Source organism: Homo sapiens, chromosome 1 (genome assembly GCF_000001405.40).
Source record: "Homo sapiens chromosome 1, GRCh38.p14 Primary Assembly".
NCBI lineage: Eukaryota > Metazoa > Chordata > Mammalia > Primates > Hominidae > Homo > Homo sapiens.
Genome location: NC_000001.11, coordinates 113,018,672 through 113,038,284, shown reverse-complemented (window position 1 = coordinate 113,038,284; position 19,613 = coordinate 113,018,672). Strand labels below are relative to the sequence as shown.

The following is a 19,613-nucleotide window of genomic DNA, read 5'->3' as shown; positions in this document are numbered from 1 at the left end:
CCGGCCCAACTTTTTCTTAATTTAAAAAACATTTCTGGGTTGGGCGCGGTGGCTCACGCCTGTAATCCCAGCACTTTGGGAGGCCGAGGCGGGTGGATCACGAGGTCAGGAGATCGAGACCATCCTGGCTAACATGGCGAAACCCCGTCTCTACTGAAAATACAAAATTAGCTGAGCATGGTGGCACATGCCTGTAATCCCAGCTACTCAGGAGGCTGAGGCAGAAGAATCGCTTGAACCCAAGAGGCGGAGGTTGCGGTGAGCCGAGATCATGCCATTGCACTCCAGCCTGGGTGACAAGAGCAAAACTCCATCTCAAAAAAAAAAAAAATTAGCCAGTGTAGTGGTGCATACCAGTAATCCCAGCTACTCAGGAGGCTGAGGCAGGATAATCGCTTGAACCCAGGAAGTGGAGGTTGCAGTGAGCCAAGATCGTGCCACTGCACTCCAGCCTGGGTGACAGAGTGAGACTTTGTCTCAAAAAAAAGAAAAAATCTGAGTATAAGTGGACCTGTGCAGTTCAAACCCATGTTGTTCAAGGGTCAACTGCACATTTCTCTTACAAGAGTAACTTTCCAAAGCTACTCCTATGTCTGCAATTTCTCAAAATAACCAGCCGGAAATTATTAATATGCCAAAAAGGCATGTTTTGGGGTGGCATATTTCTGTCTCCTACAGTCATACTTAAATGTGGTATCTCCTGAGTCCCAACACCCTCAGGAGCCCATAGTTTAACTGGATACAAAGACTAACAAGAAAATATATAGTAAGAGCAAATAAACCAAAATGTAGTAAAAGCATGGAGATAGCAGAAAACCCTCAAGGGCATTAGCGGAATGGGAACACATCCTGAAAGAAGGGATTGAGATGAGATTTGAAGGGTGAATGTGAGTTCATCAAGGAGATCAAAGAGCAAAGACTTGAGAGGGAATCTTGAGTCGTGGGATATGAAAAAATAGTGGGTAATGCTGAAATATAAAGTGCAGTCAGGGATCACAGGCCCCTTTCTGTTCTTTTATAGCACCTGGCACTTCAGACCACTTCGAGCATTTATCACCACTTCTCAACCAAAAGGGTGACCAAATGGGATTATTTGTTTCACAAACCCCTGTAAGAACTGTCAGCAGGGAGTGCTTTCCCTTCTAAATCCCCTCATGGCAGGGAAGAGTACTGGATAGGAGTAGGGGTAGATTTCCCTCTGGAAGGTCACTACACCAGAAACGCCCCAGGAATCTGGAGGTTGGTTTTCTCACATGGAACAGTCTGTTTGGCTCTGGCAGCTAAGAGGCTAGCAGTTCTACTGTGCCAAGCTATAGGAGATGAATGAAATGAGCAGAAACCACCAAGAGGCCAAGAAGACCAATTAGTGAGCATATGAAATCTACCCCCAGAGACTCCAGAATGACTCAGAAGATCACTGAGAGGGTTATAGGTTGTGTAAATCTGGTGGGGTAAGGAACAAAGAGCACTGCTTGGTTACTGCTACCATGACCCAGTTTCTCCCTCTGGGCAGGTGTGGCTGGGAGAAACACATTTAACATGGAGATCATTAGGGCTGCCAGTAGTGGTTAGGGTAGGTATGTAAATACTTTCCAAGGAGTACAGGGCAGTGGTTAGTTTCAAAGAAATCAATTTCTAGATCCTCAATTTGATGCGCCCCAGAGGACATCTGCAGCCCTGATTTTCTTTTCCCATCTCATTTTCTCAATTGCCCTCTTCTCACTTTATCAAAAAAAGTTTATCTCTTACTCTTCCCTAATCCTGACAAATGATGCATTACTCTGGGGTGAAAAAAGCATGTAAGGCATCAAAGGGACAATTCCAAATTTTTTTTTTTGAGACGAAGTCTCACTCTTGTCCCCCAGGCTGGAGTGCGATGGCACGATCTCGGCTCACTGCAACCTCCGCCTCCTGGGTTCAAGCGATTCTCCTGCCTCAGCCTCCCGAGTAGCTGGGATTACAGGAATGCACCACCATGCCCGGCTAATTTTGTATTTTTAGTAGAGACGGGGTTTCTCCATGTTGGTCAGGCTGGTCTCGAACTCCCGATCTCAGGTGGTCTGCCCACCTCGGCCTCTCAAAGTGTTGAGATTACAGGCACGAGTCACTGTGCCCGGCCATAAAATGTTTTTAATCACTAATTATATTAGTACAAGATTACATAGAAATGGATTCAAAATATGATTTCAAAAAAAAAAAAAAGAAATAATGTAAAATTAAAGAGTGTGATATGAGAGCTGGGAGGATGGCTTGAGCCCAGAAGTTTGAGACTGCAGTGAGCTGTGATGTGCCACTGCTCTCTAGGCTGGACAACAGAGCAAGACCTTGTCTCAAATAAATATATAAAGATAAAAATTTAAAAAAAAAAGTGTAGTCATGAATTTTCTAAATTGATGATGGTAATATCAAATTACTATATTTATATTCCTGTAGATTCCTTTAAAAGGGTGCTTTCGGCTGGGCTCAGTGACTCAAGCCTGTAATCCCAGCACTTTGGGAGGTCGAGGCGGGCAGATCGCCTGAGGTCAGGAGTTCAAGACCAGCCTGGCCAGCCAGGTGGAACCCCGTCTCTACTAAAAATACAAAAATTAGCCAGGAAGCTGAGGCAGGAGAATCGCTTGAACCTGGGAGGCGGAGGTTGCGGTGAGCCGAGATCATGCCATTGCACTCCAGCCTAGGCAACAGAGTGAGACTCCTTCTCCAAAAAACAAAACAAAGTGCTTTCATAGTTTTATTATATTAATCACAAAAAGCCAGTAATTCTATCTTACAGCTCTTTAAACTTACAATGAAAAATGTCAGTTGCTAACTTTAAAACGTACAAGGGGGTACATGGTTTTTCAAGTCTCTTACAAAATATAAGAACAAAAACATTTGACGACCATGGTTTTAGGCCAACGTCATTTCTGGAAGGGGAAACCTAGAACAGCCTAAACTTGCCTTTTCTATTTGGCACCATTCCATGATTCCCCCAGGGCAGGGTGAGAATGGTCTTCAGCTTCCTTTGCAAACCCTTTCAGCCCATTCCCAGTAACTGGCATAGGTTACTCACCTTGGAGTCACACAGCCTGACTCAGTCATGTACACAAATACTTGGGCACTCTTGGGCAAGGTACTGAATCTCTCTGTGCCTCAGTTTTCTTTTTTTTTCTCTCTTTTTTCTTTTTCTTTTCCCGAGTAGCTGGGACTACAGGCACGCATGATATCATGCCTGGCTAATTTTTGTATTTTTAGTAGAAACTAAAAACAGTTTAGTCAGGCTGGTCTCGAACTCCTGACCTTGTGATCTGCCCACCTCGGCCTCCCAAGGTGTTGGGATTACAAGCATGAGCCATTGCGCCTGGCCTGAGTTTTCTAATTTATAAAATGAGAGTAATGTTTTATAAATTAAAATATTATTCTTTTTTTACTAATACTACTTTTAAAATTTATGTAAATTATCTTAAAAAGTGCCTGGCCATGGAAGCTATTAATGTTGTTTGTTGTTGTTGTTGTTGTTGTTGTTGTTTTTGAGACAGAGTCTTGCTCTGTTGCCAGGCTGGAGTGCAGTGGCGCGATCTCGGCTCACTGCAGCCTCCGCCTCCCAGGTTCAAGCGATTCTCCTGCCTCAGCCTCCCGAGTAGCTGGAATTACAGGCATGTGCCACCATGCCCAGCTAATTTTTGTATTTTTAGTAGAGACGAGGTTTCACCATGTTGGCCAGGCTGGTCTTGAACTCCTGACCTCAGGTAATCCACCCGCCTTGGCCTCCCAAAGTGCTGGGATTACAGGCGTGAGCCACCGTGCCTGGCCCTATTATTGTTTATTTGAGTACTCATTTAACAAAAAAGGAAGAAACAGAGAGGTCAGGCCAGATGTCAAAGGTCATTTTAGCTGGGCACGGTGGCTCACACCTGTAATCCCAGCACTTTGGGAGGCTGAGGCGGGTGGATCACGAGGTCAAGAGATCAAAACCATCCTGGCCAATATGGTGAAACCCCGTCTCTACTAAAAATATAAAAATTATCTGGGCGTGGTAGCACATGCCTGTAGTCCCAGCTACTCAGGAGGCTGAGGCAAGAGAATCGCTTGAACCAGGGAGGCAGAGGTTGCAGCGAGCCAAGATTGCACCACTGTACTCCAGCCTGGTGACAGAGCTAGACTCCGTCTAAAAAAAAAAAAAAAAAAAAAAAAAGAAACTCCATCTCTACTAAAAAATACAAAAATTAGCCAGGCGTGGTGGCAGATGCCTGTAATCCCAGCTACTCCGGAGGCTGAGGCAGGAGATTGCTTGAACCTGGGAGGCAGAGGTTGCAGTGAGCCAAGATCATGCCACTGCACTCCAGCCTGGGTGACAGAGTGAGACTCCATCTCAAAAAAAAAAAAAAAAAAAAATCCGGTCATTTTGTTGGTCAGTGGTAAAGACTGAAAACCTGGAGTTCTTGCATTTGGCCCACTTATACTTACCTTTTGGTTTCTGGGCAGGGACTCAGAGCTTGTCCAGGAATCTGGAGGGATGGCTTGTAACATCTTTTCCTCCATGGGCCTTGAGAACAGTCTGTTCTTTCATGGGCTTCCACTTAGCACTGTTCAGAAGCATCCACAGCCACAGCCAGAGTCGGGGTCCTAGGCTTATAGAGTAGTGTCTCATGTCCTAAGGCTAGGCTCCACCACAGCAGAGCAGAATAGGTATCTGCTAAAATCTCCTATCACTTCTCATTTGTTTATTAAATCCTTTTTTTTTTTTATTAGAGGGAGTCTCCCTCAGTCACCTAGGCTGGAGTGCAGTGGCGTGATCACAAGTCACTGCAACCTCTACCTCCTGGGTTCAAGTGATTCTCCTGCATCAGCCTCCCGAGTAGCTGAGATTACAGGTGTGCGCCACCATGCCCAGCTAATTTTTGTATTTTTAGTAGAAATGGGATTTCACTGTGTTGGCCAGGCTGGTCTCCAACTCCCGACCTCAGGTGATCCACCCGCCTCAGCCTCCCAAAGTATTGGGATTACAGGCGTGAGCCACCGTGCCCAGCCTATGTTTCCTTTTCTTTTTTTTTTTTTTTTTTTTGAGATGGAGTCTTGCTCTGTCACCCAGGCTGGAGTCCAATGGCGCAATCTTGGCTCACTGCAGCCACTATCTCCCAGGTTCAAGTGATTCTCCTGTCTCAGCCTCCCGAGTAGCTGGGAGTACAGGCACCTGACATCATACGCAGCTAATTTTTGTATTTTAGTAGAGACTGGGTTTCACCATGATGGCCATGCTGGTCTGGAACTCCTGACCTCATGATCTGCCCACCTCGGCCTCTCAAAGTGCTAGGATTACAGGCGTGAGCCACTGGGCCAGCGGAAGTGTTTTTTAAAACACATTCTAACTGATAGCTATTAATATTTCTTGGATTGTTATATATGAGATAGGATAAGTTAAAAAAAAAAAAAGGGCCAGGCTCGGTGGCTCACGCCTGTAATCCCAGCACCTTGGGAGGCCGAGGTGGGTGGATCACCTAAGGTCAGGAGTTTGAGACCAGCCTGGCCAACATGGTGAAACCCCGTCTCTACTAAAAATACAAAAAATTGGCCAAGCATGGTGGCAGGCGCCTGTAATCCCAGCTACTTGGGAGGCTAAGGCAGGAGAATCACTTGAACCCAGGATGCGGAGGTTGCAGAGAGCTGAGATCATGCCATTGCACTCCAGCCTGGGCGACAAGAAAGAAACTCTGTCTCAAAAAAAAAAAGAAAAAAAAATCCTAGTATTAATAGGAAAATGCCAGGCAGTCAAGCATTCTAACAGAAAAGGTCAAAACAGGGATTTCTAATGTAAGTCCTGAACCCCTACTACCACTAACCTGGAGGCTCCATGGAGGTGTTAATGAAGGTGTAAGAGTTGTTTTCTCCTTTCCAAAGAAGTCTAATAGAAATCATCAATTATATTTATGCTACCTTTGCTTTTTTTTTTTTTTTTTGTCCAGAAACCCATCAAGGTAGTGTGGTAGGCCTGGCTGTCTTAAGGGAAAAGGGATTAATTAATGATATTTGTCTGGCAGGCTAAAATCTTTTCAAGCTTTGAGATCCACTCCTAAGAGCTACTTAGTAGTGAGAAGGTTAGGGATCTGCAATTTAATCTCTGGGAACAAAGTCTTAAACCAAAGAAATAAACCTCTTCAACAAACACTCAGGCAACAGTGCTGTTGCGTTTCAGGAGAAGGGTATGGATTAAAGAATTGAAGATACACTGGCCTTGATATCTAGGTCTCTAATGTAGAATCAGTAGTCTACGGTGGTTAAAATAATGGACTTTTTTCTTTTTTTGAGACAGAGTCTCACTCTGTCAACCAGCCTGGAGTGCAGTGGCGTGATCTTGGCTCACTGCAACCTCTGCCTCCCGAGCTCAAGTGATTCTCCTGCTTCAGCCTCCCGAGTAGCTGGGACTACAGGTGCATGCCACCATGCCCGGCTACTTTTTGTATTTTTAATAGAGTTGGGGTTTCACCATGTTGGCCAGCCTGATCTGGAACTCCTGACCTCAGGTAATCTGCCCGCCTCTGCCTTCCCAAAGTGCTGAGATTATAGGCATGAGCCACCGCACCTGGCCAAAATAATGGACTTTTAATAGTAAAGAGACATAGTTCAAATCTTGACTCTGCCACTTGCTATTAATAATTAACAAATTATTGAACTTCTCTGTGCATCAGTTTTCTCATTTGTAAAATAATAGAAACTATCTCATAGGCTTGCCAACTAGATGAATGAGATAATACATTTGAACTACAAGATGCTTGACATACAATAACTTCTCAATGAATGTCACAAATTTTTTTAACGGACCATAACTCAAATCTGTCTTTCACTATGACACAGGCACATCTGTTCATCCCCACCTGCCTGCCAATTCCTTTTTTTTCACCCTCTGAATTAATTGGATGTTTTAGATGTTGTCAAAAATGCCTGAAACCAAAGCAGAAGGAAAGTGTAGGCTGGGCCCCCACCCAGAAGTTGTGTGTCAGTTTGTTCCTCCTGAGTGAGGTTCACTACTAGGCTGGACACAGTGTGGAGGGAATTTGGGCCTCTGTTACAAAGGGAGGAAGAGGAAAAGAACAATTAAGGGCCCGTTCTCAGGAAGCTCACTCTAATATTACGGGAGTCACGAGTCAGGCTTGGAAAAGAAAGAAGACCAACTAAAAACATAATTGGTTAAGTATAAATATTGAATATGTAAGTGCTAGGTGGGAAGTTCTCCCTTGAGCTGCATTTGATGCGGAGGTAGGAAGACTTTGTTATGCTCTGCTATCACCTGCATTGAAGCACCTAGATCTTTTATCCCTCCAATCTGTCCCCACCACCCGGGCAGTTGCCATATTAATTGCCCTAAAGCACTACTTTAATCATGTCATTTCTCAACGAAAATATCAGACACTCTATGGAATTATCTATGGAATTAAGTACAGACTTTTTAGCCTCTCCAAATGTGAGCCCAACTTATCACCCCATTGTTCCCTGACATGTGTCAGATTGGTGTAGTCACTGTTCCCTAAGCACATCTTGAATGGTTGCTCTTCTGCACCTTTCTTTATTCTATCTGGAATGTCTTCTTGCCCCCTCCCGTCTCAAATACCACTCTCTCCTTTAAAGCTTCCCCTAACACCCTCCTAATTTTCTCAGCATTCTCTATCTAAAATTTGGAACTCTTATTTGCTGACTGGGGTTACAGTTCGTTTTGTTTTTTGAGACAGAGTCTTGCTCTGTTGCCCAGGCTGGAGTGCAGTGGCACGATCTTGGCTCACTGCAACCTCTGCCTCCTGGGTTCAAGTGATTCTCCCGCCTCAGCCACCCAAGTAGCAGGGATTACAGGTACCCGCCATCATGCCTGGGTAATTTTTGTATTTTTGTAGAGTCGGGGTTTCATTATATTGGCCACGCTGGTCTTGAACTCCTGACCTCAGGTGATCCCTCCCCACCGCCTCGGCCTCCCAAAGTGCTGGGATTACAGGCACGAGCCACTGCACCCGGCTAATACATCTCTTTAACTCTCTCCTAAGAGAATTTTAAAAAGTAAAAACAAAGAGAAGAAGGAAATTTAGCCCCCAGAAAAATTTACTGCAAAGTAAAATATAGCTTTAAAATTCAATGTTTTTCTTCTCTGAAGATACCCAGGACAGTTTGCCTCTGCTGTTTTTTGTTTTGTTTTGTTTTGTTTTTAATCATATAAATTGCTTTGCTTGAAAGGCAAGTGGGGGTAAATATAGCAGCAGTATCTCTGATATAACATTCTCTGACCTGTCCTGGACATGTCCTTGACATTGTCCTTTAGAAAGGAAAGAGAAGGAGAGAAAGTGTGTCCCTGCTACTGTATATAAGAGAAACTCCTATTTCTAGCCATTATCAGGGCACAAGGGGACTGATGAGTATACAGAATAAAAATAAAGGTCGAGTGCAGTGGCTCACACCTGTAACCCCAGCACTTGGGTAGGCAGAGGCAGGAGAACAGCTTCAGCCCAGGAGTTTGAGATCAGGCTGGGCAATACAGCAAGACGCTGTTCTCCACAAAAAGAAAAATAATAATAATAAAAATAAAGAAGCAAAAGATGATAGTAATTTGTCATGTCTCCTGTGTTTGGCTGTCTCTGGCAGGACAGCCAGAGCCAGAGAGAGTCGATCAGCAGTATTTACTGAGGTGAAGGTGGCCAGATGCCCTGTACTGGAAACCACACTCAGTTCAACTTCCATTTCTGCCAACTGCATTTTGAAAAGCGTCCTGCCTAAATGCTTTGTAGGTTACTGAATCCCACTTCCTCCTTACCCTTTTCAGAGTTTTTCTTTTTTTTTTTTTTTTGAGACGGAGTCTCGCTCTGTTGCCAGGATGGAGTGCAGTGTCGAGATCTCGGCTCACTGCAACCTCTGCCTCCTGGGTTCGAGCAATTCTCCTGTGTCAGCCTCCCGAGTAGCTGGGACTACAGTGTGCACCACCACGCCCAGCTAATTTTTGTATTTTTAGTAGAGATGGGGTTTCACTATGTTGGCCAGGATGGTCTCAATCTCTTGACCTCGTGATCCAGCCTCCTCGGCCTCCCAAAGTGTTGGGATTACAGGCGTGAGCCACCGCACCTGGCCCAGAGTTTCTTTTTTCTTAAAGGAAAATGTAAGGATACCAATAATGAAATTTAACTTGAAAGTGACTTGGAATATACATCATTGTGGTTCTCTGTTAAGGGGATTGGGTGGTGAGAGAGTGAGGTAAGGGGCTGGGGGCTGAAAGGAAGGCTGAGTAGAGAATGACCCCTAAGTCTTTGCTCTATGTTGTTGACCCTTTTATAATGAGAATGATTTATGAATTATGTGTATAATTTTTTTAAGTAGAGAAGGAAGGAAACAAATAATGTGTTGAGAAATAGCTCACCTGTGATTTATACAGGATACTTGATTTAGACATATTATGTATTCTCTATTGCTATCAAGTAAAATATCTGTTTAGTAGGTTAACTGTGATTACCTTATTTCCAGTGTCTAGTATAGTATCACACCAATGCAAATTTAAAATTATGTACTAATTCTGCCTCCCATTTCTGTCTTTTGATTACTTGTTTCCTTGATAAGATTAAAATTAGAGAACCTTGTGATAGTACCCTTGGCACACGTGCCCACCCTTTTAGAAGATCATTTGTCAAATTAACAAAGCAATGCTGTGCTAGAAATCAGTGTATACATTAGTGTACATAAAGTCCCTCATATAATGCCTGATACATGCTGGTTGCGTTGTAAAAACTAAGACCTTTCTTCTCTTCCCCTTTGTCCAAGGAATAAGACAGGGTTGACATCAAAGAATTTCAATTTGTAAGCATCTGGCCTAGCAAAGTTAGTTAGAGCTAGGAAGTGTGTTAGGTATTATTTCACCAATTTTCCTCATCTTAAGATAGAGAAACTCAGGCCCAGAGAGGGTTAATGTTTAATACATGTTACAAATCCACCGAGTGGCAGAGTCTTAATGAACTCTTCTAAACTTCTACCTAGCCGGGCACTGTGGCTTGTGCCTGTAATCCTAGCACTTTGGAAGGCCGAGGCAGGTGCATCACCTGAGGTCAGGAGTTGGAGACCAGCCTGGCCAACATGGTGAAACCCCATCTCTACTAAAAATACAAAAAATTAGCCAGGCATGGTGGCGTGTGCTTGTAGTCCCAGCTACTCGGGAGGCTGACGTGGGAGAATCGCTTGAACCTGGGAGGCGGAGGTTGCAGTGAGCCGAAATCATGCCACTGCACTCCAGCCTGGGTGACGGAGCTTTTTTGAGACTTCATCTCAAAAAAAAAAAAAAAATCAAAGTACTGGCCTAAAGGCATTTTAACCTCTCTCAGAGCACAGTATGTGAAGAACAGGCATAGTTCATTATTATTATTATTAGCATATTAGCAGCTTATCATCCTTGTCAGTTTTGGCTTCTGTGTGTGAGTTTTCAATACAATGTTTCAAAGGCCAGAGCAGCTTTCCCTCCTCCTCAGGGAGTGAGCCAGCATCCAGGTGTCTCTGAAGAACAATACCTACCCTTGACTCCCCAGGTGGCTTTGTGATGCTGAGCCTCACAAAGACAGGGAGGTCTTGTGGAAGGGAAGCCCTCAGCCCTCAGCCCTCAGCCCTCAGGGTGCTGACTGGGGTGAGCTCCAGGAAAAGCTTGCCTAATTCTCACCTAGAAAAACAGAGCTCTTCTCTGGAATTCAAACACAATTTAGAGAGGTCAGAGAAATTCAAAGCCTGGGGACCTTTGTCCTCCTGGTGCCCAAACAACCACACATTCTGCTTTCTGCTTCACAGTTTATAAAGCATTATGAAAGGCAGGAGATCTGCATAATAGGTAGTTCACTGTTCTTATTTTATAAAGTAAAAGCAAACAAACAAAAACAGCCCAGAAAGAAACAGGTGAAGAGAAAGGAGAAGACACTAACATGGCTTAAGCACTCATGTGTCCTAGGCATCTTAGATCCCTCATCCCACTTTCAAAACCTCCCTGGAAGGAAGCGTTATCCCTATTTTATAGAAACGGAAGCTTACAGGCCAAGCAGCATGTCCAAGGTCGCACAGCAACAAAGTGGCAGAGCCAGAAGTTGAAGTACATCCTTTGACCTCTATCTAGTAAATTGAGTGCACCTTCTACAGCCCCACATGAGGAAACCCAATCCCAGAGCGGTAACATGCCCTGCAGAAGGTCACGTAGCTAGTAAATAGCAGGGCTGGAATCTGACTGTAATTCTCATCTGAAGCTTGAAGTGGACAGTCTCTGTTTTAACAAGATGTTTTGTTTGCTGGTGGGAAACAGAGCTTATGGAAGAAAATGAAATGTCACGCATAAATTGATCTGTTTAGATTAGATTTGATAACTTCGGTTGGGGGTATCACTTGCAGGGAGAGGTCTCTAAACTAAAACTCCACAGTACAAAATCACAAAGCGGATGAACAAGTTGGGCAAGGAAAGAAATAAATACTGGAGGCTATGCTGACCAAAAAACTAAATCTTAAATTTCACTACTCAGCCTTAATTGAGTCTTTAAAGTAACAACTTACTGTTTCAATAAATGACACATGATCATAATACAAAATTTAAAAGATATAACAGATATGATGTGAAAAGTCCCTTTCCTTCCCTCCCTAACCGTTTATCCAGCCTGACCATTATAGAGTATCCAGAAATCTTGATTTGGCCTAAATAAAGAGTGTTCTATGTGTTGGAAGAGGGTACTCTTTACATAGTGTGATCTGAGAAGTGCGGAAAGATCCAATGCATTGTAAAAATACATCTCCACTGGCTTGCTTCTACCTTCCCTTTCTACCTAGCAAGAAATTCTGCCAGTGAGAGGTAATCCTTTCTGCTAAACTAAGAGGAGGACATTACTTCCAGAACTACATAGGAAAAGCATAATTTTGCCTAAGGGCCTTTCTGTTCATCAACCTAATCATTATTTTCCCTTGTCTTTTTTTTTTGAGACGGAGTCTCGCTCTGTCGCCCAGGCTGGAGTGCAATGGTGCAATCTTGGTTCACTGCAACCTCCACCTCCACGGTTCAAGCAATTCTCGTGCCTCAGCCTCCCAAGTAGCTGGGATTACAGGTGCATGCCACCATGCTCAGCTAATTTTTGTATTTTTAGTAGAGATGGGGTTTTACCACGTTGGCCAGGATGGTCTTGAACTCCTGACCTCAGGTGATCCACCCGTCTCGGCCTCCCAAAATGCTAGGATTACAGGCATGAGCCCCCGTGCCCGGCCCCCTTGTCATTTTTGTTCTCTCTACTTTCTTCCTGAAAACATACGCCCATCTGGGGAGGCCCTAAGAGACCCTCACTAAGGCTTAACTGATTTCAGGATTTTATTTTATTTATTTATTTTATTTTGAGATGGAGTCTCATTCTTGTTGCCCAGGCTGGAGTGCAAAGGCGCGATCTCAGCTCACTGCAACCTCTGCCTCCTGGGTTCAAGCGATTCTCCTGCCTCAGCCTCTCAAATAGCTGGGATTACAGGCATGTGCCACCACACTCAGCCTTTTTGTTTTGATACGGAGTTTCCCTCTTGTTGCCCAGGCTAGAGTGCAATGGCATGATCTCAGCTCACCGCAACCTCTGCCTCCCAGGTTCAAGCGATTCTCCTGCCTCAGCTTCCCGAGTAGCTAGGATGACAGGCATGCGCCACCATGCCCGGCTGATTTTTGTATTTTTAGTACAGATGGGGTTTCTTCATGTTGGTCAGGCTGGTCCCGAACTCCCGAACTCAGGTGATCCATCTGCTTTGGCTTCCCAAAGCGCTGGGATTACAGGCGTGAGCCACCGCGCCCGGCCTAATTTTGTATTTTTAATAGAGACAGGGTTTCACTATGTTGGTCAGGCTGGTCTCAAACTCCTAACCTCAGGTGATCCACCTACCTGGGCGTGAGCCACTGTGCTCGGCCTGATTTCAGGATTTTAAATATAATACATTTCCCCACCAGCCCCACATTTTCCAGAAGAGCTAGCTTAACACAAACTAGATTTTGCTCATGGGTGAAATGTGAAGAATTTTTTTTTTTAGATGGAGTCTCACTCTGTCGCCCAGGCTGGAGTACAGTGGCACGATCACGGCTCACTGCCACCTCTGCCTCCCAGGTTCAAGCAATTCTCCTGCCTCAGCCTTCTGAGTAGCTGGGATTACAGGTGCACGCCACCATGCCTGACTAAGTTTTTGTATTTTAAGTAGAGACAGGGTTTCACCATGCTGGCCAGGCTAAGCCACCGCACCCAGCCACTAGTGTCCTATAAACATAATTTTTTGGCCAGGCGCGGTGGCTCATGCCTGTAATCCTAGCACTTTGGGAGGCCGAGGAGGGCGGATCACCTGAGGTCAGGAGTTTGAGACCAGCCTGACCAAGTTGGAGAAGCTCTGTCGCTACTAAAAATACAAAATTAGCCAGGTGTGGTGGCACATGCCTGTAATCCCAGGTATTCAGGAGGCTGAGGCAGGAGAATCGCTTTAACCCAGGAGATGGAGGTTGTGGTAAGCAGAGATTGCGCCACTGCACTCCAGCCTGGGCAACAAGACGAAACTCTGTCTCAAACAACAACAACAACTTTTAAAAAATGTTTACTTTTGGATGGGTAGTGACATTGTGGGTGACTTTTTCTGTCTTTTATCTAGAGCTGTATTAATGTTGCTATACTGTTCATGTAATTTTCTTTAATTATAAAGAGAAGAAAAACCATTCCTTAATAGAGTGGTTTGCAATAACAAACTCAATAGGGAACTCAGTAAAGACTGAGAAGAGGCATTTTAATGTGGCTATTCAGGAGTAGATAATGGCCCTTAATTATATTTCAATAGAGACTAAAACCAAATTATTTGTTATTTGACATTAAGAGGTGACGATAACTGCGCAGATAATTTGCTAGAGGAGTTTGCCAAAAAAGAGTAGAAATAGGACAGAATCATTAGAAAGCAGCAAAATTGAGTAAAGGTTTTGTTCAGTATTAGAAAGATAGACAAAGTAGGTGTGAGCTCTGCCTCCTTAGCTATTTCTGTTGTAAACCTAGAGAAGACCTGCTTAACAGTGGAGAATTGCTAACATCCTGAGAAAACCTCTTCACTTTCTGTTATTTCACTTTTTAAAAAACAAGTAGAGGCAAAGGGTCTTCCTAAATAATGTTCATAAGGGATCAGTGGCAGGGCATTGGGGAGGGGAGGAAGCTGCTTGATTATAAATTCTTTTTTTTTTTTTTTTTTCTGAGACAGAGTTTCACTCTTGTTGCCCAGGCTGGAGTGCAATGGCATAATCTTGGCTCACCGCAACCTCCACCTCCTCGGTTCAAGCAGTTCTCCTGCCTCAGCCTCCTGAGTAGCTGGGATTACAGGCATATGCCACCACACCCAGCTAATTTTTGTATTTTTAGTAGAGACAGTGTTTCACCATGTTGGCCAGGCTGGTCTCGATCTCCTGACCTCATGATCCGCCCGCCTCAGCCTCCCAAAGTGCCGGGATTACAGGCGTGAGCCACTGCACCCGGCTGATTATAAATTCTTTACATTTCACCCATGAGCAAAATTTAGTTTGTGTCAAGCTAGCTCTTCTGGAAAATGTGGGGCTTGTGGGGAAACATATCACATTTAAAATCCTGAAATCAGGCCAAGCATGGTGGCTCACACTTGTAATCCCAGCACTTTGGGAGGCCGAGGCCGGTGGATTACTTGAGGTCAGGAATTTGAGACCAGCCTGGCCAACATGGTGAAACCCTGTCTCAACATGGGAACACTTACCTGTAGTCTCAAGAGGCTGATGCAGGAGTATCCCTTGAGCCTAGGAGGCTGAGGCTACGAATGTGCCACTACACTCCAGCCTGGGCAACAGAGCAAGACCCTGTCTCAAAAAAAAAAAAGAGAAAAGAAAAGAAATGTAACACCATTGAGGTGAGATAATAAGAGATATTCTGCTACTTTTAAAACAATTAAAATTTAGGCTAGGTGTGGTGGCTCACGCCTATAATCCCAGTACTTTGGGAGACCAGGAGTTTCAGACCAGCCTGGGTAACATGGAGAGGCACCATCTCTACCAAAAAAAAAAGAAAAATAAAAAATAAGAAATAAATAAATTTTTAAAAAGTAAAATTTCTAGTCCCCAATACTAAAAGATACTGAAAGAAATTGCCAATGGTGTTGCAAACCGCAAATGGAAATACTATTGAAATTATTGACAGTGGGGAAAGGGTCAGAGGGTAAAATGTCTTTGATTTTTTAAGTATGAAAAAAGACTTCCTTTAAAGATAGAGATTGACCAAACCTGCTTAGCTTAAGTAGTTGCATATCTAGAGAGTAAGACTGTGGAATAGAGTAGGGTTTTGTTGTTGTTATAAATATTTGGTATTACCTTAAAATTACATCCATATAGGCTGGGTGTGGTGGCTCACGCCTGTAATCCTAGCATTTTGGGAGGCCGAGCTGGGTGGATCACCTGAGGTCAGGAATTTGAGACCAGCCTGACCAACATGGTGAAACCCCATCTCTACTAAAAATTTGAAAATTAGCTGGGCGTGGTGGCGGGACCTGAAATCACAGCTACTTGGGAGGCTGAGGCAGGAGAATCCCTTGAACCAAGAAGGTGGAGGTTGCAATGAGCCGGGATCGTGCCACTGTACTCCAGCCTGGACGGTGGCAAAAGCAAGACTCCATCTCAAAAAAAAAAAAAAAAAAAAAAAAAAAAAAATATATATATATATATATATATATATATATATATATATATATATATATATGTATACAATACAATAATCAAACTTTATTTTAAAAAATGTTCTCAGGCTGGGCACGGTGGCTCACACCTGTAATCCCAGCACTTTGGGAGGCCAAGGCGGATGGATCACGAGGTCAGGAGTTCGAGACCAGCCTGGCCAACATGGTGAAACCCCGTCTCTACTAATAATACAAAAACTTAGCCGGGCCTGGTGGCTGGCACCTGTAGACCCAGCTACTTGGGAGGCTGAGGCAGGAGAATTGCTTCAATCTGGGAGGTGGAGGTTGCAGTGAGCCAAGATCTTGACACTGCACTCCAGCCTGGGTGACAGAGTGAGACTCAGTGAGAGATTTTTTGTATTTTTAGTAGAGACACGGTGGAGGCTCCATCTCAAAAAAAAAAAAAAAAAAAAAAAAAAAAAAAGTTCCCCAGGTGGAAAAAAATTACATTCTGAAAACTAGTAGGAAAATTTTCAATGATCTCTAGAACATTTTGGCATGGATTATCAAAAGATGTTTTACGAGCATGTAAAGAAATTGACTCTAGGCACTAACAAGGGGCCGCTACGGGCAAGTTCTTTCATTCAGCAAATATTTGTTGCGCAAATTCTGAGTTATAGTTACTGTGCAAGACACAAGGGATGAAGCAGAAAACAAAACAGGCACATTCCTGCCCCTTGTGGAACTCTGGTGAGGAAGACAAATAATAAAACGTATGGTATAATTACAGCTTGTGATAAGTGCCAAAAAAGAAAACCCAGGGATTTATGTGAGCCCATAATTACAGGAACTAGCTTCACTGGGAGAGGAGGCAGTGCTAGAGAAATCCTCTGTGGGGACACAGTATTTAAACTGCTACCTGAGGGATGAATAGAATTTAGGTGGACAATGCGTGCAGAGTGCTACAGAGAAAATCTGAAAACACCATGCGAAAGAGTCATGAGGCAGGAATAAGCTTGCCATGCTAGAGGAACAGAGAAAAAGCTGAGGTGGCTGGAACAGTAAACAGGAGGGAGAGTGCAGATAAGCAGGGGCCACATCACACAGGCAGTAACTAATGCTATTTTCTTTTTTAAAATGATTACTGGACAGGTAGATGAAAGAAATAAAAACACACTGTTGGAGAGAAAACATCATTTCTTTTTTTACCCTTTTTAGGTTCTTAGTTGAGACACTTGAAAACAAGCGTCAGATTAACAAAAGAAAAACAAGTTTATTAACATGCTGTACCCATCAAGTGGGAGAGGCCTCAGTTCAAAAGTATTTCTCTCTCCAGGCAGTGGCTTAGGGACCTTGTTTAAATAGTATTTTAACAAAGAACCATGAATTTTTTTTTTTTTTTTTTTTGACAGAGTCTTGCTCTGTCGCCCAGGCTGGAGTGCAGTGGCATGATCTCGGCTCACTGCAACCTCGCCTCCTGGGTTCAAGCGATTATTGCGCCTCAGCCTCCCGAGTAGCTGGGGTTACAGGCGTGTGCCACCACGCCCGGCTGATTTTTGTATTTTTAGTAGAGACAGGGTAGTGCCATGTTGGACAGGCTGGTTTCGAGCTCCTGGCCTCAAGCAATCCACCTGCCTAGGCCTCCCAAAGTGCTGGGATTACAGGCGTGAGCCACCGTACTTGGCCAGAGCCATGAATCTTACGAAGTGCTGAAACAAAGAAGAGTATCTTTAGGCTTCCAAAAGGCAGGAAAATGTGGGAAGGTAAATTAATGGGAAGAGTAAAGTCTGCTCCTGGATCCTCTGGCACCGCTGAGCTGTTTCTGAGCGGATGAAGGCAGAGTTAGGAAGGGCAGTGTGCCCATGTGTTTTAAGCTTTTAAACTAAAATCCCCAGTATTTTAGCGAGAAATATTTTGGTTTCCTTCAACACACTAAATTTGTTTTCTGCAAGGTAACTGATAAAAATGGTTGGGATGAACCAGTTATCACTTTTTTTTTTTTTTTTTGAGATGGAGTCTCGCTCTGTCACCCAGGCTGGAGTGCAGTGGCGCTATCTAGGCTCACTGCAAGCTCTGCCTCCTGGTTCACACCATTCTCCTGCCTCAGCCTCCCGAGTAGGTGGGACTACAGGCGCCCGCCATCACGCCTGGCTAATTTTTTGTATTTTTAGTAGAGACGGGGTTTCACCATGTTAGCCAGGCTGGTCTCGAACTCCTGACCTCAGGTGATCCGCCTGCCTCGGCCTCCTAAAGTGCTGGGATTACAGGCGTGAGCCACCGCGCAGTTATCACTTCTACAACCAAATTATATCCCAAATCCATCCACTTCCCACTTTCTCCTCCCTAGATCAAATCACCACCATCTCCCCTGGGCTACTGCTACTGGTCTTGTTTTCACTTTTATTTCCCACAGTCCATCCTCTATACAGCAGCTAGAGTGATCTAAAATGTAAATCAGGCCATTTGAATTCTTTGCTTAAAAATCCTTCAATGGCAGCCGGGCGCGGTGGCTCACGCCTGTAATCCCAGCACTTTGGGAGGCCAAGGTGAGTGGATCACCTGAGGTCAGGAGTTCAAGACCAGCCTGATCAACATGGAGAAACCCTGTCTCTACTAAAAATACAAAATTAGCCGGGCATGGTGGCACATGCCTATTACTAGGCAGGCTACTAGGGAGGCTGAGGCAGGAGAATCACTTGAACCTGGGAGGCGGAGGTTGCGGTGAGCCAAGATTGAGATCATGCCATTGCACTCCAGCCTGAGCAACAAGAGTGAAACTCTGTCTCAAAAAAAAAAAAAAAAAAAATCCTTTTATGGCTTCCCATTTGTCACAGGTTAAGTTTGTCACAGATGCAGAGGTGGAGTTTGGGATTCAACATGTTATTAAGGTTTAACATCTGTGACAAGGAAGAAAGAGAAATCTGAGTTGGACTGAGGAAGAAATCAGTGATGCAGACCAAAAATAGCCTTGGCCAACCTATCAAGGAGCTCTGAAAAACGAGTATTATCCGTCAGAATTGTTAGGTTAAAATAGCTGGGGCTTTATAACCCTGCTCACTTAGTCTCTAGAAGCGATCTGCTCTAAGAAGGGTATATCCTTAAGCAGTGGGGCTCTCTGTGTCTGGGGCAGATTCTGAAAGGGCTGTTTGGTGACTACACTCTTTACATCTGGGCATCAAGTCCTTCCTTAAAGGAGGATATGGATGGTACATCTCTTGTCCATCTCACCACTGCATTTAGAATAAAAGGCCTTGCCAAGCACATTGTGTGAGTCTGTAGTCTCAGCTATTGGGAAGCTGAGGGGTGAGGATTGTTTGAGCTTCAGAGTTCCAGGCTGCAGTGTGCTATGATTGCTCCTGTGAATAGCCACTGTACCCTAGCCCAGGTGACACAGGGAGACCCCATCTCTAAAAAAGTAAGTGAGTAAATAAAAGAATTTCAAGACCTTACATAATCTAGTTTCTGTCTACCTTTCCTCTACTTGCCTTTGTTCACATTTTGCTCTAGGTACACTGCCCTCCTTGTTTTTTTAAGCCCATCCCTTCCTCAAGGACTTTGTGCTTGCTGTTCCCCTGCCTGGAATGGTATACTCCCAGTCTTCACATGGCTAGTGCCTTCAGAAGTTGTGTGCCTTTCTCCTCATTATTCTGTTTAGTGTTGCTCCATTTCACTTTCCTCATAAAATGACCTGAATTTTTATTTACATCTATCTCATCAACTAGAATGTAAATTTCGTGAGAGTCTCGGTGTGGTCTGTTTTTTCCACTTCTCTAACCCCACTCAGTACCTAGAACTCAGTAGACCTCCACAAATACTTATGGTTCTTTTGCTTTTTTTTTTTTTTTTTTTTTTGAGACAGAGTCTCGCTCTGTCGCCCAGGCTGGAATGCAGTGGTGTGATCTCGGCTCACTGCAAGCTCCGCCTCCCGGGTTCACGCCATTCTCCTGCCTCAGCCTCCCGAGTAGCTAGGACTA

General features: G+C 44.2%; 1 long non-coding RNA gene across 1 annotated transcript in view, besides 5 other annotated features; it reads left to right on the top strand.

The window, feature by feature from the left end:
• LRIG2-DT (LRIG2 divergent transcript) overlaps positions 1-19,613 on the top strand; it is a 61,416-nt gene that overhangs the window by 34,818 nt on the left and 6,985 nt on the right. The gene's annotated exons all lie outside the window — the stretch shown is intronic.
• Positions 9,611-10,356: an enhancer, noted in NCBI's record as "NANOG-H3K27ac-H3K4me1 hESC enhancer chr1:113570551-113571296 (GRCh37/hg19 assembly coordinates)". NCBI's record gives its function as "activates a minimal SCP1, AML or CMV promoter by ChIP-STARR-seq in primed H9 embryonic stem cells {active_cell/tissue: H9 hESC(primed)}" and the evidence as "EXISTENCE:reporter gene assay evidence [ECO:0000049][PMID:30033119]".
• Positions 10,357-11,104: an enhancer, noted in NCBI's record as "NANOG-H3K27ac-H3K4me1 hESC enhancer chr1:113569803-113570550 (GRCh37/hg19 assembly coordinates)". NCBI's record gives its function as "activates a minimal SCP1, AML or CMV promoter by ChIP-STARR-seq in naive H9 embryonic stem cells {active_cell/tissue: H9 hESC(naive)}" and the evidence as "EXISTENCE:reporter gene assay evidence [ECO:0000049][PMID:30033119]".
• Positions 10,404-10,698: a silencer, noted in NCBI's record as "tiled region #391; K562 Repressive non-DNase unmatched - State 23:Low". NCBI's record gives its function as "represses a minimal TATA promoter and a strong SV40 promoter by Sharpr-MPRA in K562 cells {active_cell/tissue: K562}" and the evidence as "EXISTENCE:reporter gene assay evidence [ECO:0000049][PMID:27701403]".
• Positions 11,105-11,851: an enhancer, noted in NCBI's record as "H3K27ac-H3K4me1 hESC enhancer chr1:113569056-113569802 (GRCh37/hg19 assembly coordinates)". NCBI's record gives its function as "activates a minimal SCP1, AML or CMV promoter by ChIP-STARR-seq in primed H9 embryonic stem cells {active_cell/tissue: H9 hESC(primed)}" and the evidence as "EXISTENCE:reporter gene assay evidence [ECO:0000049][PMID:30033119]".
• Positions 11,852-12,599: an enhancer, noted in NCBI's record as "H3K27ac hESC enhancer chr1:113568308-113569055 (GRCh37/hg19 assembly coordinates)". NCBI's record gives its function as "activates a minimal SCP1, AML or CMV promoter by ChIP-STARR-seq in naive H9 embryonic stem cells {active_cell/tissue: H9 hESC(naive)}" and the evidence as "EXISTENCE:reporter gene assay evidence [ECO:0000049][PMID:30033119]".